The following is an 18813-nucleotide window of genomic DNA, read 5'->3' on the forward strand; positions in this document are numbered from 1 at the left end:
GGGGTTCAGAAAGATGAGATAACTTGCCCAGGGTCACACTGTGAGTTAGGTATGGGCTGAGCAGATGAGATTCCAGCTCCACGAACTTTCTGAATCCAGGGAGCATGGGAGGGGCTGTCAGGGGGAGCTCTGGGCCCCCACCCTTCAAGCCAGTATCCCCATTTTTATCTGTTTGACATACATCAGATGCCACACAAGATTGCAAATGAAAAAGAAGTCCCCAAAGCTCAAAAACCCTGGCTCTAGACCATCCTTCATCTGCCCACTTCAACAGCCTTCCCTTATCTCCTCCCTCCTCCTCCTCTTTTCCTCCTCCTGCCTCTGGCAAAATTTTCAGAAAACAAACAAACAAACAAAAACATGCTCATGAGAAGAAGCAGACAGATGTGGTCAGCCCAGGCCTGAACACATTGGTCTCCAGTCTGGGAGAGACAGAGCCTCTCTATCTAAAGAAAAGCATTCTCAGGGTCCAAGCTGACAATGATGCAGTGTGCCGTGCTGACAGGTAATGAGCATCCCATCAGTTAAGGTGAGTAAGGCTAGATGATCTGTTCAAACACTAGCAGCAATTGTCTCTAGATGGTAGAATTCACAGGCTTTTGTTGCTGGGTTTTGTTTTTTGTTTTTTTTTGAGATGGTGTTACAGGATCTTTGGGGTGTCATTTTCTGGCCGGAAACCTCTGTGGCTGGTGGCACCTTTGCCCAAGTTTTGCTCAGGCCCACTGGGCTTGTTTCACTCACTCCTCCTGGCAGGCAGCACTCAGCTCACATTACCAGCCTGGGTTCCACATCTGCCCAGGGCAAGTCAGGCATGGAACAGTGAAGGGTGTGTGAGTGAACATGGGGTCTGGCCACTGCACACAGTCAGACATGCCGGCTGCTGCAGCGGGGTGAGCAGCTCCAGGTGCCAGCATGGGCGCCAGCTCTCTGAGAGGTTGTGGCTAGACCAAGTACACCACAAGCAGCTTCCACAGCTGGCACCGGGGAACACGGTGGCACCCAGAAGCTTCGAGATGCCAGGAACCACAGGGCCCCGAAAAGGGAGTCACAGCTCCAGCTTGGGGAGCTCCCAGGTCTGGGTTCCCCAGAGGGCCGCAGCTCTTCTTTCCTTCCCTTCACCTGCATCATGGCAAGCAAGGGGCATGTTTCAGCCTTGTTTGTGTTACAGCTCTTTCAGCCCCACCATTTGATGGGTCCCAAGTTCTTATCCTGCAACCAGGAAGAATGAGGTATGCAGACAAGTGGGGAGTGAGCAAGACGAAGAGGAGCTTTACTGAGCGATAGAACAGCTCAGCCTCCTGCAGAGCCTCCCTCAGGGGGCAGCTCCTTTCCACAGCCAGGGTGTCCTGATGAGTGTTCAGCTGCTAGCAGAGAGGAGACCCTGGAATGGGAAGCTCCTCTCTGCAGGCAGGTCATCCTGTCGACTTTCCAGCTCTCAGAAGAGGGAAGACCCTGGAATGGGAAGCTCCTTTCTGCAGGCAAGTTGTTCTGCCATCTCTGCAGCTCTCAGCAGAGAGGAGGCCCTGGAGCGGGTAGCTCCTCTCGGCAGCTGGTCATCCAATGTCTGCCCAGCTCTGGCTGAGCCTGAAGCTTTCATGAGCCTCAGAGAGGAGGAAGTGCATACTGATTGGTCCATGGGTGGCTATAGGCAAGCCCAGAAAATACACCATAAGTTCCCACTCTGGTGTGTGGGACTGGCAGCCTGGCCCCCAGCCTTGAGGCCCTCCCTGGCTTGAAGGTAGGGCCTCACCAGGGACCCATCCCCTTCCACCCAGGAGCCTGTCTGTCTCCTGCTGCTGTTCATGGTGCCCAGGCTGTTCATGCCAAGGAGCGTCTGCAGGCCAGTGCCGAGCTGCCCTCAGTTTCCCCTTGGCTTTCCTTCCATGCTAGTCAGTGCCCAAAGTCCAGAGGGGGCCAAGGCAGCAGGGGTCTAGTGTGTCAGCACTGCCCCAAGCATGCCCACACCCAGCCAGGCTGCGACAGCACCCAGGCTCAGCACCAACTTTGCTCTAAGATCAGAGTGGGCGCCAAGAGGAGGGAGAAGCCAGGCAGTGGGAGCAGACACTTCTGAGCCTGAAGGGTGGGGCGGGGGGCCTTCCCGGGCCCCCAAGATTGCAGGGATGCCTGGGTCCACAGCTGCAGTTTAGGCAGCTGCAGCTGCATGGGGGATGGCGGGGGCCCCCACCTGCTCCATGAAGCAGGATCAGCTGTGGTTTGGCAGCTGCAGTGGTTCCCAGGAGGGCGGGGTTCCCACTGTCCCCAGCTCCCACTGGCTACATGGAGCATGCAGCCCTGGCCGTGCCTCCCTGCTGCAGCCAGTGTGATGACAGCAGCCATTCCAGACGGCCCGCCATTGCCATCTCTTTTTTTTTTTTTTTTTTTTGAGATGGGGTCTTGTTCTGTCTCCCAGGCAGGAGTGCAGTGGTAAGATCAAAGCTCACTGCAGCCTCAACCTCCTGGGCTCTAGCAATCCTCCCAGCTCAGCCTCCCAAATAGCTGGGACTACACAGGTGCATGCTACCACACCTGGCTATTTTTTAAATTTTTAGTAGAGATGGAGTTTCACCATGTTGGCCAGGCTGGTCTCGAACTCCTGACCTCAAGTGATCCGCCTGCCTTGACCTCCCAAAATGCTGGGATTACAGGCGTGAGCCAAAGCACCTAGACTTGCTGTTTTTTTAAATGTTGGCAAAAGCTAGTGACTAAGTGTTCACCATGTGCCAAGTGTTTTGTATGTGCAAGTCATTAAAATGTTATAATAATCAGATGATATAGGACCCCGTTCCCAGTGTACAGATAAAACTGAGGGCTCAGGAGGTCAAGTAATTTCCCAAAGACATGCAACTAGGAAGCAGCAAGTCTAGAAACAGATTGCTGTGCTTCCTTCTCACCAATGCACTGTTCTTTCTTCTTTGTATTTTCCAAGCTTTTGGCAATGAATTGCATGTCACTTTCATAATCATGAAAAGTCCTACAAGGGACAGATTTTTTTAAAGATTCCTTCCGCTCTGGTGTTCTGTGCTTCGCTGGTTCTCAGAACCTCACCCTGCACGGCCTCCACCCCACATCCTCACAGGCACTGGCCTCACTGCCCCCACTCCCACACCAGCTGTTGCTGGGGCAGGACGCCCAATGTCCCAGTCTTGCTGAAGTCTGCTTGAAATGTCCCTGGTGAGCTTCTGGCCACTGGGGAAGTTCAGGGGGCAGGTCTGAAGAAGGGGAAGTAGGAAGGGATGTGAAACTTGGCCACAGCCTGGAGCCACTCCTGCTGGGCAGCCCACAGGGTCCCTGGGCGGAGGGCAGGAGCATCCAGTTGGAGTTGACAACAGGAGGCAGGTGAGGCCAGAGTCCCAGAGGGAGGGGGCTGCAGAGTTCTGGGACCCAGGGGAGCTGGCCCAGGAGGCTGGGCAGCTGAGGCAGGGAGGGAGGGAAATAACTGTGCCTGATTCTAGGACAGGGATGGGGGTGCAGCACTGATCCAGGACCCAGAATGGGTGAGTGGAGGGACCTTAACTCCTTGAGCCAGGGCTTGGGGGAGGGTGAGAGGCGATGAGTTAGACCTAACAACTGAAGGGTAAGACCAGGGTTCCTGGGTCCTGGCCCCATAACACATAAGAAACCAGGAAAAGCCTGGGGTGCTAGAGCTGGCAGTGGGACCCAGCAGAGGGGACTGTAGGGGCAGCCAGTCACCCATGCTCAGGTGGATGCTGAAAGGCGCTGAGCATGCAGAAGAGTGAGCAGGTGTCGCTTTGGGCGTTTGTGAATTCCTGTGTGTATGCAGAGCTCCACCATCTGGGTGAGCCAGTGTTAATTAAATAAGGAGCAGGCGCTCAATACATATTTGTTCAATGAAATCGATTACCTGTGGGAGTGTATGAATGTGTGTGTCCGTGCAAGTGAGGGACAGGGTCTATTTGGGTATCAGTTGTGTGTCTAGGGGGGTATAGTGGATTTCTGAGTTTGCCTACTGTGTTTTGTAGGTGCGTGGATGAGAGCTGTGTTTGTGTGAGTGTGTGAAGATGTGGGTGTGCTCTGTTGCATGTGTGGATGTGTGTGAGTTTGTGGTTCTGTGTATATGCGTGGGGTCCTGGGGCTGGATTGAGAGTGGACATTGAGAGCCCCAGAGGGTGCATGTGCACTTGGGGAGGACTGTGCATATATCATTGTGTGCATGGGACTCAAGGGTGGGAGCTGGGTGTGAGTGTGATGTCCAACCTGCCCAGGCCCTCCCGTGTCTCCACAGAGGCATCATGGAGGGTCCCCGGGGATGGCTGGTGCTCTGTGTGCTGGCCATATCGCTGGCCTCTATGGTGACCGAGGACTTGTGCCGAGCACCAGACGGGAAGAAAGGGGAGGCAGGAAGACCTGGCAGACGGGGGCGGCCAGGCCTCAAGGGGGAGCAAGGGGAGCCGGGTAAGCACCCTTCCTCGGGACCCAGCCCCTTGGACCTTGGCCTGACTTGGCCTCCAGGGTGAAGGCTTGGGGTGGCACTGAGAATCAGGAGTCCGTCTGCCCCCAGTGCCCCATGAATCCTCTCCAGTTTGTACTTGGCCACAGGGGCTAAGGGAGGCCTAGCCTTCTCGGGCCATGTCCTCAGGCCTCTCCACTCCCTGTGTACTGCCTGGGCCCTCTTTCTTCGGCTTCACCTTCCCCCTCTGGAGAATGACTTGCTTTGACCAGTGAAAGTGAAAGTTCTGGCAGCAATGCTGAGTCCTTGTTCATGTTTCTCTTGCCAGAAAAACGAGGACTCAGAGTTTAGACTCAGGAGCCACTGCCTTGCTGTGTGACCTCAAGCAAGTTATTGGCCCTCTCTGAGCCTAAGTGGGCTCATCTGTAAAATGGAAAAATAACACTGCCTGGCACATAGAGAGGGATCAAATAACTGAATCTGTCCCTTCACTTCCTTCCAGCACCCCCAACACTGTCCCTGCTTCCCCCTCCCCAGCCCCTTCAGGCTTCAGAGACTCACATTCTAGAAGAAAGGCCAGGGGTAATGGAAAAGGGAAGAGGTCCTGACCAAAGTAGAAAGGGAGTCTCATGGAATCACCCTGGGCCTCCTAGTCCAAAGCAGACCAGAAGGATCACATAGACATTTGCAGTAATTTGCATCCGGGCATCCTACATGTGGTACCTGAACCTGAAGCCAAGTCAAGGTCAGTGCCCCAGAGGGGTATGAAGTCCTCAGCCTTGGGCAGGAACACAGCAGAGCAGCCAGAGTTCCATGCATTTCCCAGAACCTGACACTTTCCCAAGTGCCTGTTCACACTTCTCTCCACTTTACAGATGAAGTGGAGGCTCAGAGAGGTTGAGACACTTGCCCAAAGTCACACAGCCAATCAGAATCGATGTCCTGAAGGCCCAGGTGCTTCATTGCCCTTTATCCCATAGACTCAGGGGGTCCAGCTCTCTCCCTGAGGACCAGTAGGCATTGGACTCTCACTTCCAATCTGGCATTTCTCCCCACAGGGGCCCCTGGCATCCGGACAGGCATCCAAGGCCTTAAAGGAGACCAGGGGGAACCTGGGCCCTCTGGAAACCCCGGCAAGGTGGGCTACCCAGGGCCCAGCGGCCCCCTCGGAGCCCGTGGCATCCCGGGAATTAAAGGCACCAAGGGCAGCCCAGGAAACATCAAGGACCAGCCGAGGCCAGCCTTCTCCGCCATTCGGCGGAACCCCCCAATGGGGGGCAACGTGGTCATCTTCGACACGGTCATCACCAACCAGGAAGAACCGTACCAGAACCACTCCGGCCGATTCGTCTGCACTGTACCCGGCTACTACTACTTCACCTTCCAGGTGCTGTCCCAGTGGGAAATCTGCCTGTCCATCGTCTCCTCCTCAAGGGGCCAGGTCCGACGCTCCCTGGGCTTCTGTGACACCACCAACAAGGGGCTCTTCCAGGTGGTGTCAGGGGGCATGGTGCTTCAGCTGCAGCAGGGTGACCAGGTCTGGGTTGAAAAAGACCCCAAAAAGGGTCACATTTACCAGGGCTCTGAGGCCGACAGCGTCTTCAGCGGCTTCCTCATCTTCCCATCTGCCTGAGCCAGGGAAGGACCCCCTCCCCCACCCACCTCTCTGGCTTCCATGCTCCGCCTGTAAAATGGGGGCGCTATTGCTTCAGCTGCTGAAGGGAGGGGGCTGGCTCTGAGAGCCCCAGGACTGGCTGCCCCGTGACACATGCTCTAAGAAGCTCGTTTCTTAGACCTCTTCCTGGAATAAACATCTGTGTCTGTGTCTGCTGAACATGAGCTTCAGTTGCTACTCGGAGCATTGAGAGGGAGGCCTAAGAATAATAACAATCCAGTGCTTAAGAGTCAGGCCCGTCCTTAGTATGTTTTTTTGTTTTTTGTTTTTTAAGATGGAGTTTCTCTCTTGTCACCCAGGCTGGAGTGCAATGGAGTGATCTTCGGTCACTGCAACCTCCGCCTCCCGGGTTCAAGCAACTCTCCTGCCTCAGTCTCCCAGGTAGCTGGGATTACAGGTACCTGCCACCATGCCCCGTGAATTTTTTGTATTTTTAGTAGAGAAGGGGTTTCACCATGTTGGCCAGGCTGGTCTCGAACTCCTGACCTCAAGTGATCCTCCAGCCTTGGCCTCCCAAAGTGCTGGGATTAGAGGCATGTGCCACCACGCCCAGCCCATTCTTAGTATTTCACATGATGTGTTTAGCATGTCCTAGCAGCCTCATCTACCCAGGTTCGAATCCTGATGCCACCACTTATTAGCTGTCTAATCATGTGCATGTTAACCCAGCTCTGAGATCTCAGTTTCCTCATCTGTAAAGTGGGACTGATGATCCCAAAGGGTCATTGGGAAGATTAAATGACTTAATATATGAAAATTGTAGAGCAGTGCTCAGTTTATAACAAGGGCTATGGAAATTTTTGCTATTATTATATTTTATTTAATCTTTATGACCAAGCTCTGGGTATGGTATGATGGCCCTACATTACAGATGATGAAACTGAGGCTGCGAGGAGTAGGCATCAATCAGCAAATCAGCATCTAAGGGGAGGATCTGGGGGCCAGTCACAGTGGCTCACGCCTGTAATCCCAACACTTTGGGAGGCCAAGGCGGGCAGATCACTAGAGGTCAGGAGTTCGAGACCAGCCTGGCCAACATATAGTGAAACCCTGTCTCTACTAAAAATACAAAAATTAGCTAGGGGTGGTGGCGCACACCTGTAGTCCCAGCTACTTGGGAAGCTGAGGCAGGAGAATCACTTGAATCAGGGAGGCAGAGGTTACAGTGAGCTGAGATCGCGCCACTGCACTCCAGCCTGGGTGACAGAGCGAGACTCCATCTCTTAAAAAAAAAAAAAAAAAAAAAAAAATTGGAGGGTGGGGAGGCGGGAAGGAGCTGAGATTTGAACCCAAGTCTTACTGATGCCCAAGCCTGTGTTTAACCACTACCCTCACCAGCCTCCCTGGCTTCTATGAAGCACATGACACATCACACAGGTGCTTTTTCAACCCTGTGTTGGGAAGGCAGGGGCAGGAATCAGAGAGGGGAAGCAATTGGCCCAAGGGCACTCCGCAGTCCTTCCTGAAGCTAGGTTTCCTGAGTCCAGCCCTGGGCTTCCACCTGGCAGGTGTGGAGACCAGGGCTGCTGCCTCTGCTGCCTGATGGACATTCCGCCCAGGCTGGGGGCTGGGAGAGTCTTGAATGCTCACAGTGCATTCCAGGGCCCTATTTGTCTGTCTGGAAGCTACTATGAAGCAGCAAACCCCACCCTGTCCCTCGAATGCAGGAGAAATAAGGGGGCCAGGAGTTCAGATCTGAAAATGTCCAATGCACCATGCAGTTTCTCAAAGGAAGCTGGGTTTAGCTTTGTGCTGCACACACACACACACGCACACACCAGTTATGCCTTCACACCCACAGACACACTCAGGGAGGCACAATCCATCATACCACACAGCCCCTGCCTCAGACATACAAGTAACATCCATGAACCATCGCATATTCTCTCTCTCTTACGCATGTGTCCCAGACACACTCCTTTCACCCGGGGACACACATCCTCCTCACTCCAGCATGCACGAGCCTCAGAATGCCTGTGTTCTCTCCCACACGGACCCCCCACCACCCACACATACACTCAAACTCCCACAGGGCCATCCTCAGAAACACGGGCTGTCCCTCCCATCCACTGCCAGATGCACAAATGGCCTCATGGTCCTCGAGTGCACAACCTGAATACCCACCTCTAAAGTACAAGACCCCCTCCTGGGACTGCCCCTGCCCTGCCAACAGGCTTTGGGGGTCGGGAAGAAGTGAGGGGGGCCCAGGGAGAGGATGAACCCTCCACAGCCTCAGGGTAGCCCTCAGCTCCCTTCCAGAGTCAGCTCAGCCCTGTTCTCCCCCCGCCTCGCTCACCCAGAACACACACTGTTTCACAGGCACCGGGAAAAGAGACAGGTCTTCGGGAACCTAACGTGCTGGGCATTCCACGGCCATTGATGTATTTAATCCCAGCAAAATCGATGTGGACACTGAGGCTCAGAGAAAGCAGACATCCACCCAAGGACACACAGCCAGAAAGGGGAAGGGCCCTGGGGCTGAGCCAGGGGTGCCTGACCCCACAGGGTTAGGGCACGCAAAGAAAATGCCAGGGGTGGAGGCTCCATCAGCGGCAGTAGAGGCCAAGCTAGAGAAATGGGGTGTGCAGTGAGTGCCCGGCCACCCCCTTACCCTAAATCCTACCCATACCCCACCATCCACCCACTACCCCGATGCAAAATCTCTGGCCCCTCTGGGAGGGGAATGAACTGGAGCTGCCCGGAGCGGGGCCAAGTGGGCGGGGCACGGGAGGGTTGAGCGTGGGCCGAGGCTGCCACCTGCTGGACAAGCCGAACCCAGGCGCAGAGGAGGTGAAGAGGGAGGAGAGGAGCCCAGAGCCGTTAGGCTGGGTGGCCCCCAGCCCCATAATGCAGTATCCATCATTTCTTCTCGGCCCAGGCTTCCACCCACCAGGGACTCCTAGGGCCAAGTGGGTTCATGCCCCTTAACTCACCCCACACTCTCTGCAGTCCCATGGCACGTGGTGGAGACACAGAAGGGGAGACTGAGACCCTGAGGGTTCCTCAGTGAGGCAGGGGAAGAGCTCTGAACACCTGCCCATACCTGGCACGGGACAAGGCATCACACGTGTGTTGTGCACTGAATCCCAGCCACTGGCCTGGAGCTGTAAGAAGCCTCCATGTTACAGAGGGGGAACCAATGGACACAGGTGGCAGGTGTGGGGTCGAGGCTGGAGCCCTGCTACTGCCTGACAGCCCCTTCATCCCTAGAATCTCATGTGAGGAGAAGAGGGAGAGGGGAGAAGGCCTCTCAGCTCTGCCAGCCTGGTCCTGATGGGGAGCCCCTCACCAGCCATGGTGGGCTCCAAGCCCAGAGGCAGGGCACCCCCAGGATGCAGGCAAGGAGGGTGGTGTTGGCAGGGAAGATGGAACCGTCAGGGAAGACCAGGTGCCCCAACGAAGGAAGAGGCACCAATACTGAAAGCCAAGGCCACCCCAGTAGACAGAAGGGAGGCCAGAGGGACCAGTGATTTGCTGAAGGCATCTGGTCCATGCAGTGACAGGGCTGGAAGGAGAAGCCAGGGCCCTGGCTCTGTAGCCAGGGCAGCCCGTGCACCACAACAGCTGCCTGCCGCCAAAGCGGGTCCATCCTGGGGGTCCACCTCCAAGTGTGGCCACTGGGATGGGGCACATGGAAGTTTCTAGAACAAGGCTTGCAACTTGACAAGTGCATGTGAGGCTTGTTTCTGGGGGCAGCTGAGCAGAGGGGTCAGAGCAAGGCTTTGGGCCCCAAGAGACCACTCAGTGTGTGACTTTGGGCAACGGTGTACATCCTCCTGAGCCTGTTTCCTTATCTGTAAAGGGGGATAATAACTTCCTCCTAGGGATTCTGGGAAAACTGAGTCTCAGGCAAAGCAAATGCTAACATTGGTCATTAGATGGGATGAACCTGACTCTGGGGGACGTCTGTGCCCTGGGGGCTTGTGTTTATACACACACACACACACACACACACACACACACCCTCAGCCAGATGCTGGGGCAGGGGACAGTTCCTCATTTCGGACACTGACTGCCGGTGGGGGGATGTGGATGGGGTATTGCTGTGGTCAGTCTGGCTCAGCACCCAAAAGAAAGTGTCAAGTCAGGGAAAATTCTGGGAAAGGGGATGTGGGATTGGGGGAGGGCACGAGAAGGGGAGGGGGCCCAGCCCTGCTTTGGGCAATCCTTGCTCTGACCACTCAGACACCGTGTCCTCTTGCCTGGGAGAGGGGAAGCAGATCTGAGGACATCTCTGTGCCAGGCCAGAAACCGCCCACCTGCAGGTGAGGCCCGGACCCCTGCCCAGGTATGGGCAGATGGCCGTTTCCTCCACCTTCCGCCACCTTCCTGAAATGTGGTGCCAGGGGCAGCTTGGTGTGTGAGGGGAAGGAGGGTTCCCACTCCTGCTGGGCCCCGGGGCCTGGGCTGAAGAAAAGGCCCCACCATCCATCCATGGTGAGGCTCCTGGGGGAGGAAGGAAGGCGAGCTCCCGAGGGCTGAGGAGGACGGGCCCTGGGGAATGAGAGGGTTGGGGGCAGGTGAGGGGCTGGCGGGGACAGCTCAGCTCTCTCCCTCCCAGTTCCTTCTCCGGGATGGACGTGGGGCCCAGCTCCCTGCCCCACCTTGGGCTGAAGCTGCTGCTGCTCCTGCTGCTGCTGCCCCTCAGGGGCCAAGCCAACACAGGCTGCTACGGGATCCCAGGGATGCCCGGCCTGCCCGGGGCACCAGGGAAGGATGGGTACGACGGACTGCCGGGGCCCAAGGGGGAGCCAGGTGAGTCTGCTGGCCTGGTTTGGGGGTTTGGGTCTGGGGCAGGGATCAGAGTGTCTGTCTGGGGCTGACCAAGGGGGCGGGGGACAGCAGGAAGTGCTTGCCTTGCTGCCACGCCTGCCCCAGGGCAGAGGTGGACTCTCACGGTGTGTCTGGCTCCTCTATCCTCAGAGCCCAGGCTTCAGGCCACCCCAGAGGTGACCTTGGGCCCAGCGCACTTCCATCTTCCTTCTCCTCCTTACCCGATTATAGGGAGGGAATAAGAGCGCCTGCCCCCAAAGGTGGCCAGGAGGCTCACAGGAGACAGTGCAGGGAAAGTCTTCTTGCCCTGCAACATGGGCACCTGGGGAAGCTGGGGCCCACACAGTGAATATATCCAATGCACGACTGCCAGGGTTCAAATCCCAGCCCCTACTGATTCCCTCTATGTGAACCCGCACAAGTTACTTAACCTCGCAGTGCCTCAGTTTCCTCATCTGTAAAACGAGGAGATGGTAGCACCTGCTTCACAAGGTTGCTGTGAGGATTAAGTTAACTTAAATATAAAACAGCCCTGAGCACCTGGGAGGTCTATACAGGTGTAGGCTATTTTATCATTGGTTTTATCAGATATCCATGCTCACCTCCCTCCTTAGGATTCTGGATAGTTGGAGGGGTGGGGAGTAGGAGGTCAGGATCGCAGCCAGAGAAACTTCTGTTGGAGGTCCACAGGCAATCCTTGGCATAAGAGAAGGGGGCTGAGGCTATGAATGGGTGACTGGGGCTGGAACTGGAGCCCTGGGGGGTATGAGTGCCTTGTCTGTGAGTGAGCTGGGCACGTCTCAGATGCTAGGCATGCCTGGAGCCGGCCTGGGGTGACACTGAGCGGAGGTGATGGGGTGACAGAGGCAGTGGAAAGGAGGGAGGCCAGTTGAGAGGAATGTCCTTAGGAGTGGTCCCACCATCATCTTCCCTCCTGGATAGAGGGAATGGCACCAACATTCCAGAAGGAATTCTCCAATTTAGGGTGAGCTTAGGGTGAGCTCAAAGCTCAATGAGGCCTCCAGGTCTGCCATTTTCCAGGAGCTTGTACTTCACAGCTGCCTCTGACCACCTCCCTGCCCAGGGTAGCTGATGGCCACCCGTGATTGAGCCCCCAAGTCCCAGGTGTGGTCTCAGTTTTAGGAAATGATAAAACCGAGGCCACAATCCCTTGAAAAAGTGATTGACCCTCATTTTGCAAATGTCAAAGCTGGGGTTCAGAGAGATTGAGCAACTTGTCCAAAGTCACACAGTGGGATCCTGTCCAACTCTCAAGTCCACATTCTCCACCACTGCCCTCAGCTGCCTCTCAAGTCCCCTCTGTATTGCTGTTTCCTGGCCCCCTCTCAATTGGTGGTTTGAAGACATCACGAAGGATGAGACGCTGCTCTGCTCAGCATCACTGGCAGCCATCACGAGGACCAGACACTCCAGAGCACGCTTCCTATGGTGTGCCTGGCACAGTGCCTGTCCCACTCCACCCTTTCAGGGACTCCCTCTTCTATTATGCCCGTATCTCAACTGAGCAAATACAGGCTCAGGGAGGGAGGTCACCCACCCAGGGTCACAGATGTGAAGGCCAGGTCTGCTGGGTCCCGACCCCACACTCCTAATGCTGAGGCCTAAGAGGTTCATAAGCCATAGAGGATCTGTCATAAATGGGTCTGCACAGTCACCCAGCCTGACGGAAGTCAGAGGAGGAAAGGAAACATGAGGGCTGATGGGAGCGGTCAAGGAGGGCTTCTTGGAAGAAGAAACTGGAGTCAGCCCTTAAAAGATGAGTATGATTTAGATAAGGGGAGAAGAATCTCACAGAGGCTCAGATCATCAGGGCTGGAACAGAGTGAGACACTGGGATTCTCCAGACTTGAGTTAGAGACCTGACTCCACCTCAAACTGGCTGCACGGCCTTGGGCAAGTCTCTAACTCGGCTTCCTCATCGGCAACATGAGGGAAGTTGAACCAGGCCAGCTGTCATGGGGGCTGACGTGGGCTGAATGGGGCTGGGGTGAGCTGGAGAGAGCAGGCCCTGCAGTGGGGCGGCTTCTATTCGGCTCCTTCCAGTGGTTCCCATGTGCTAACCTGGGGAATCCATCTCAGGAGCAGATATAGGTTTTGTGGGACTCTGAAGCTTGTAAAATGTTGAGGGTCTTCTTTATGAAAAATAATACAAACTGAAAGATGCGCTTGATTGCAGAGGTGAGAGTGGTTACAAAAATTTACACATGTAGCAAAATTATATTGGAACCACACACACAGTGTATATAAAACTGGTGAAGTCTACATAAGCTTTGTGAATTCTAGGAATGTCAGCTTCCTGGTTTTGACATTATACTTTAGTCATACAAGCTGTGTCACTGGGGAAAACTGGGTGAAGAGTCCCTGTTCTTTTGTTTCTTCAACTTTCTTTGACTCTATATTTCAAAATAAAAAAGTTGAAAAAAATCAGAAATACAAAATTAGGCAAAAGGTCTTGAAGGGGCTGATGCAAGTGGACAGAACCTGAAACTTAAGCTGCCTCTGACCAACCTTCTGATTTTTTGTCAAGAAGGTCTGAGAATTTCAAATTTTAAATAAGTTCTGAATTTGTTCATGTTGGGCTCCAATTAAAAATTTTAAAAAACATTGTGCAGGCCAAACAAGATACTTGTGGCCACATGCCATCTGTCCGTGGGCTGACAGTCATGGCATCTGTGATCCCGCCCAGCTCTGAGCTCCCTACTTGCTTCATCACAAATGTGGAAACTGAGGCCAAGAGACAGGGAAGTGCCTTAGACAAGGTCAGAGGGCAGGTCAGTGGAGAAGCAGGACTTGAACCAGACTCTCTCTCTCCCCTCCAGCCAAAGCCTAACTCCCTGCACCCTGCTCCTAGGGAGATAGCCCATCTATGAGAAGGAGATTCTAGAGACCAAATGCCAGCGCTGTGTTCCCTGGAAGACACCCTCAGGGTCCCTCCTCCCTGTCCCCCACCCTATCACTTTCTCTCTGCCTTCTCCATCTCCAGGAATCCCAGCCATTCCCGGGATCCGAGGACCCAAAGGGCAGAAGGGAGAACCCGGCTTACCCGGCCATCCTGGGAAAAATGGCCCCATGGGACCCCCTGGGATGCCAGGGGTGCCCGGCCCCATGGGCATCCCTGGAGAGCCAGGTGAGGAGGGCAGATACAAGCAGAAATTCCAGTCAGTGTTCACGGTCACTCGGCAGACCCACCAGCCCCCTGCACCCAACAGCCTGATCAGATTCAACGCGGTCCTCACCAACCCGCAGGGAGATTATGACACGAGCACTGGCAAGTTCACCTGCAAAGTCCCCGGCCTCTACTACTTTGTCTACCACGCGTCGCATACAGCCAACCTGTGCGTGCTGCTGTACCGCAGCGGCGTCAAAGTGGTCACCTTCTGTGGCCACACGTCCAAAACCAATCAGGTCAACTCGGGCGGTGTGCTGCTGAGGTTGCAGGTGGGCGAGGAGGTGTGGCTGGCTGTCAATGACTACTACGACATGGTGGGCATCCAGGGCTCTGACAGCGTCTTCTCCGGCTTCCTGCTCTTCCCCGACTAGGGCGGGCAGATGCGCTCGAGCCCCACGGGCCTTCCACCTCCCTCAGCTTCCTGCATGGACCCACCTTACTGGCCAGTCTGCATCCTTGCCTAGACCATTCTCCCCACCAGATGGACTTCTCCTCCAGGGAGCCCACCCTGACCCACCCCCACTGCACCCCCTCCCCATGGGTTCTCTCCTTCCTCTGAACTTCTTTAGGAGTCACTGCTTGTGTGGTTCCTGGGACACTTAACCAATGCCTTCTGGTACTGCCATTCTTTTTTTTTTTTTTTTCAAGTATTGGAAGGGGTGGGGAGATATATAAATAAATCATGAAATCAATACATATGCCTGGCTCAGATTCCTCATTGCTGATTCCTTGAATTTCGGATCTTCAACTTTGCATCAGCCATAGCTGGGCTCTGGACTCAAGGCATCTGGTTGGTGCTCAGGAAAGCTTGGCTGCCAGTGTTGGGACACTCAGCACCATTTGGCCTGGTGGGAGAGAGATGTTCTAAGTGTGGTTACATGCTGCCAGCGGTCCCCAAGGGATCATCTGCTGTCACTTTTTTTGGGGGAGAGGCACTGCCATCATTAAAGGTATCCAAGCCCACAGGTAAATGGGAGTCAGTTTGACTTCCTGGGCCTGTGCTGAACTTCAGGAGCATTTACTATGGGAGGAAATTGGGCTTGGGTAAGCCCAGAACAGACAAAGGCAAGATGTGCAATGAATTTGTGCTGAATGAATAAGAAATTGGTGTGAATGAATTATTGCATAAGTGGGTAAGTGAATAACTAAAAGCAGAGTAAATGAATGAATGAATAAAAATCATAATAACTAACATTTATTGAGCACTTAGTGTATGCCAGCCATTACACTAAGCACGTTACACATATTAACTCATTTAATATTCATTATCACAGGGGCAACGATGCCTCATGTCATTCCGTGTTTAACACCAGTCTCCCCTCGTAGAAGGGAGGCCCCATGGGGGCAGGGACCATGGCTGATTTGCTAAGAGCTCTCTTTTCTGTGCCTAGATGCTCTGAGATGGGCATGAGGGGGAGACAGAGAGAGAAAACTGGCCTCCCAGATGTCTGACTTGCCCCAAATAACTCACAGACTCTGGGACTCCCAGGAGATCTGAAACCACTGCTGCCCACCGGCCATCAAGTTTTGACTGTGAGGTTGCTGGTGGTTGGATCCAGCCACCATGGTCCTTCTTGGAGGATGATGGAAGCCCACAATTTGATGTTGCAGGTACAAAAAGATAAAAAGTCTAACTCTCCTATGCAGGCTCCAGGTCCAATTCTCAGCACCCAGTCAGACTCGAGGCTCACTCTAGCCTGGGAGAACCTGGCCTGTCCTGGCTGTGATCACAGCTTGGTTCCACAAAGCCCCACGGAGTCATGGAAGCACCAGCCATCTGAGGTGTGGGCTGTTAAGAGCAGTGGCTCAAGCTGAGTTCTACAACCACCTCCATTCACTTTGGCTCCTCTGTTTGGGAAAGGGGCTGTGTCACACCTCCCTGCCTTTGCCCATGCAGTCCCTCCCACTCATGCAAATCATCCATCCACCTGGATGATATTCATTCACTCAACTGTCAGGAGTCAACACAAACATCACCTCCTCCATGAAGCCTTCTCCGATTTACCCCTTGGGTCCCCACAGTGCCCTCCACAAATTTGGGCACAAATTCATGACTCCTTAGAGCCCAGGTTCCCAAATCAGATGGTGAATAAAATTAACCTAAAGACTTATTTAAAACAAAATAAAACAAACAAAACCAGATTTCTCAACTCCAGGCTGCTTTATAAAGGTCTGGAGAAGCCCAGGCTGTAAATGAGTTGGCGGTTTGCAGGGGAATCTGATGCACACAGCCCACCAACTAGCTTTTGTGCACTTAGTCACTTACAGGTCTGCCTCCCCTTTAGACTGTAAGAATCGTGGGGGCAGGGCCCCTTCCATACATACCTGGCACATAACAGGGACATGAAAAGTGTGTAAGATGGGAAGGAGGGAGAGAAAGACACACACATGCACACACACATGCACACGCACATATATGCACATACACACATATACACATGCATGTAAAGACATGTACATACACACATATGCATACATACACACATATGTATACATACACACATATATGCATATACACACATATGTACACATATACACATACATATATAGGCACATGCACAGACACACACATATGCATACACATACACATATTTATACACATATATACACAGACACATGCAAAGACATCCACACATATACACATACAAAAATATACCTATATACACAGATATACACACGCACACATGTATACACATACACACAGACATACACATATATACACATACACACACATATACACTCATATAGTATCCACACAACACTTAGATATATGCATACACACAGAAACACACATATACGCATATACATGCACATACCCACACGCATATGCATGCACACACATTGACACCCACACATAGACATCCACACATCCACATACATTCACAGACACACACATAGACACACATACACACATAGACACTCATGCACATGTACACACAGATATACACACAGACGCATACACACATACATACACATACACACATACACATGCACACACATACACATACAGAAATACACAGTGGGAGAGCAGGAGGCAGGGGCGGAAGAACCTGGACGGTTCACTGAGTCCAGTGCCCCCGGCGGGGACAGCGTGAAGGCCACGGCCACAGCATCCACTGCTCTCCTCCACCAACCCCTTAGCTGTCGGCCGGGCGAAGCTGTGGGTGATATGTCTTTCTTCTCATTTCTCTTTTGTTTAAAAAATCAATACACCATTTATGTAGGTCACAGTGTCATATCAGAAACCTGTACTTTGGAAATGACAATTTTGTGCCATTTTTATTTTCCATAATTGTTTCCTTGTTGTTCTCTCTTCATCAGGGGGGCAAGCCTTTGAAAATGCCAACGTGTCTGCCTTGCTGAGGGGAGGCGGGGGAGAGTTTTTCAGTGGGGCAGGCAAGGAGGGGTGGACGTGGGGCAGGAGCCAGGACAAGACACCCCAAGCTGCAAGGAACCCCTTTCCAACCACAGGAAGGTGAGGGGGTGTAGGTTTCTTTTTCCACTCTTTGCAGGGATCAGGGATTTTCCACTCTCAATCAGGGATGTGAGTCCAAAATTTTGTAGGTACAGAGACCAGCTGGCTCCCATTAGCGGTCAAGGCCCAGGGACCCCTCAGCTCCTGATCCCCAAGTCCAGGCCTCCTCCTAATCCAGGCATGGCTTCTTTGCTCCTGGGTTCCAAGAATTCCATCTTCTCTTCATATAAGTAATACCGTTCCCATGTTTGCAGTGGGTGCCCACCAAGGGCTGGGCACTCACCTGGCCCTGGACATGGCAGGGGGACCTCGCTGGCCCCCAAAACAGCCCCAGGAGATAGGCGTTCATGCTTCCCATTTCTACACGAGGAAACTGAGGCCAGTAAACATTCCCGTGGCCACATAGTTAGCAAGACGAAGAGCTGGGATTCAAACTGCCAAAGTCCGTGCTCCTAACCCACCTCTGCTGCTTCCTGTTCTTAGCCTCACTGCTTCTACCCCAAATTGACATCCATCTTTTCCCATTGCCCTTAGCCACCTAAGAATTAGAGGCCCAGAGGCTGGGCATGGTGGCTCACGCCTGTAATCCCAGCACTTTGGGAGGCCGAGGCAGGCAGATCAACTTGAGGTCAGGAGTTTGAGACCGGCCTGGCCAACATGGTGAAACCCTGTATCTACTAAAAAAAAATACAAAAATTAGCTGGGCTTGGTGGCATGCACCTGTAGTCCCAGCTACCTGGGAGGCTGAGGCAGGAGAATCGCTTGAACTTGGGAGGAAGAGGTTCTAGTGAGCTGAGGTCGCACCACTGCACTCCAGCCTGAGCAACAGACTGAGACTCCATCTCAAGAAAAAAAAAAAAAAAAAGAACTAGAGGCCCAGAGCCACTCGGCTTTGGGAATGCTCAGAAGCCCTCAACTTGCAACCTACTAACTCGTTTCTCCCTTTGTGGAATCCAGTGTTTCTTCTCTTCACCCTAGCCTGGGTCCCTTCGGGACTATAGTTGACTGAGCTCAGAGACCTTTTGGTTTTATCAAACTTATCTTTCCCTCCTGTTCACCCATTGCAGTTAACACTTAATTTCCACCAAGCTGCATCCACAAGCCCAGTGAATTTCCATCTCCAAGCACAGATGTCAAGAGGGCCTCCAGCTCCTGGTGCTTGCTAGTCATCATGTCGTCTGAGACGCAGCCACAGGGAGAGACTGATATCCTAGTGCCAGGGATGCCGGCTTCCAGGTCTGCATCTGCCACCTCCATGAGGCATCGGCCCCAGCAGTCACGTCTTTCTGTGA

General features: G+C 53.6%; 2 protein-coding genes across 7 annotated transcripts; both read left to right on the forward strand.

Moving 5' to 3' along the window:
* Window positions 3097-6312, forward strand: C1QA (complement C1q A chain). Of its 3 annotated transcripts, none has more exons than NM_001347466.2 (3): window positions 3097-3494; window positions 4244-4413; window positions 5467-6312. In NM_001347466.2, the coding sequence occupies exons 2-3, from the start codon at window positions 4251-4253 to the stop codon at window positions 6039-6041; spliced, it is 738 nt and encodes a 245-aa protein (NP_001334395.1). In that variant the 5' UTR covers window positions 3097-3494; window positions 4244-4250; the 3' UTR covers window positions 6042-6312. The 3 variants fall into 3 exon arrangements, with proteins under 3 accessions (NP_001334395.1, NP_001334394.1, NP_057075.1); NM_001347465.2 differs by having other exon boundaries at window positions 3262-3336; window positions 4224-4413; NM_015991.4 differs by having other exon boundaries at window positions 3262-3336.
* C1QC (complement C1q C chain) lies at window positions 10267-14742 on the forward strand. Of its 4 annotated transcripts, none has more exons than NM_001347619.2 (3): window positions 10267-10520; window positions 10645-10838; window positions 13861-14742. In NM_001347619.2, the coding sequence occupies exons 2-3, from the start codon at window positions 10658-10660 to the stop codon at window positions 14415-14417; spliced, it is 738 nt and encodes a 245-aa protein (NP_001334548.1). In that variant the 5' UTR covers window positions 10267-10520; window positions 10645-10657; the 3' UTR covers window positions 14418-14742. The 4 variants fall into 4 exon arrangements, with proteins under 4 accessions (NP_001334548.1, NP_001107573.1, NP_758957.2 ...); NM_001114101.3 differs by having other exon boundaries at window positions 10267-10371; NM_172369.5 differs by having other exon boundaries at window positions 10267-10348.

The sequence above is a fragment of the Homo sapiens genome, chromosome 1, assembly GCF_000001405.40.
Source record: "Homo sapiens chromosome 1, GRCh38.p14 Primary Assembly".
Lineage (NCBI taxonomy): Eukaryota > Metazoa > Chordata > Mammalia > Primates > Hominidae > Homo > Homo sapiens.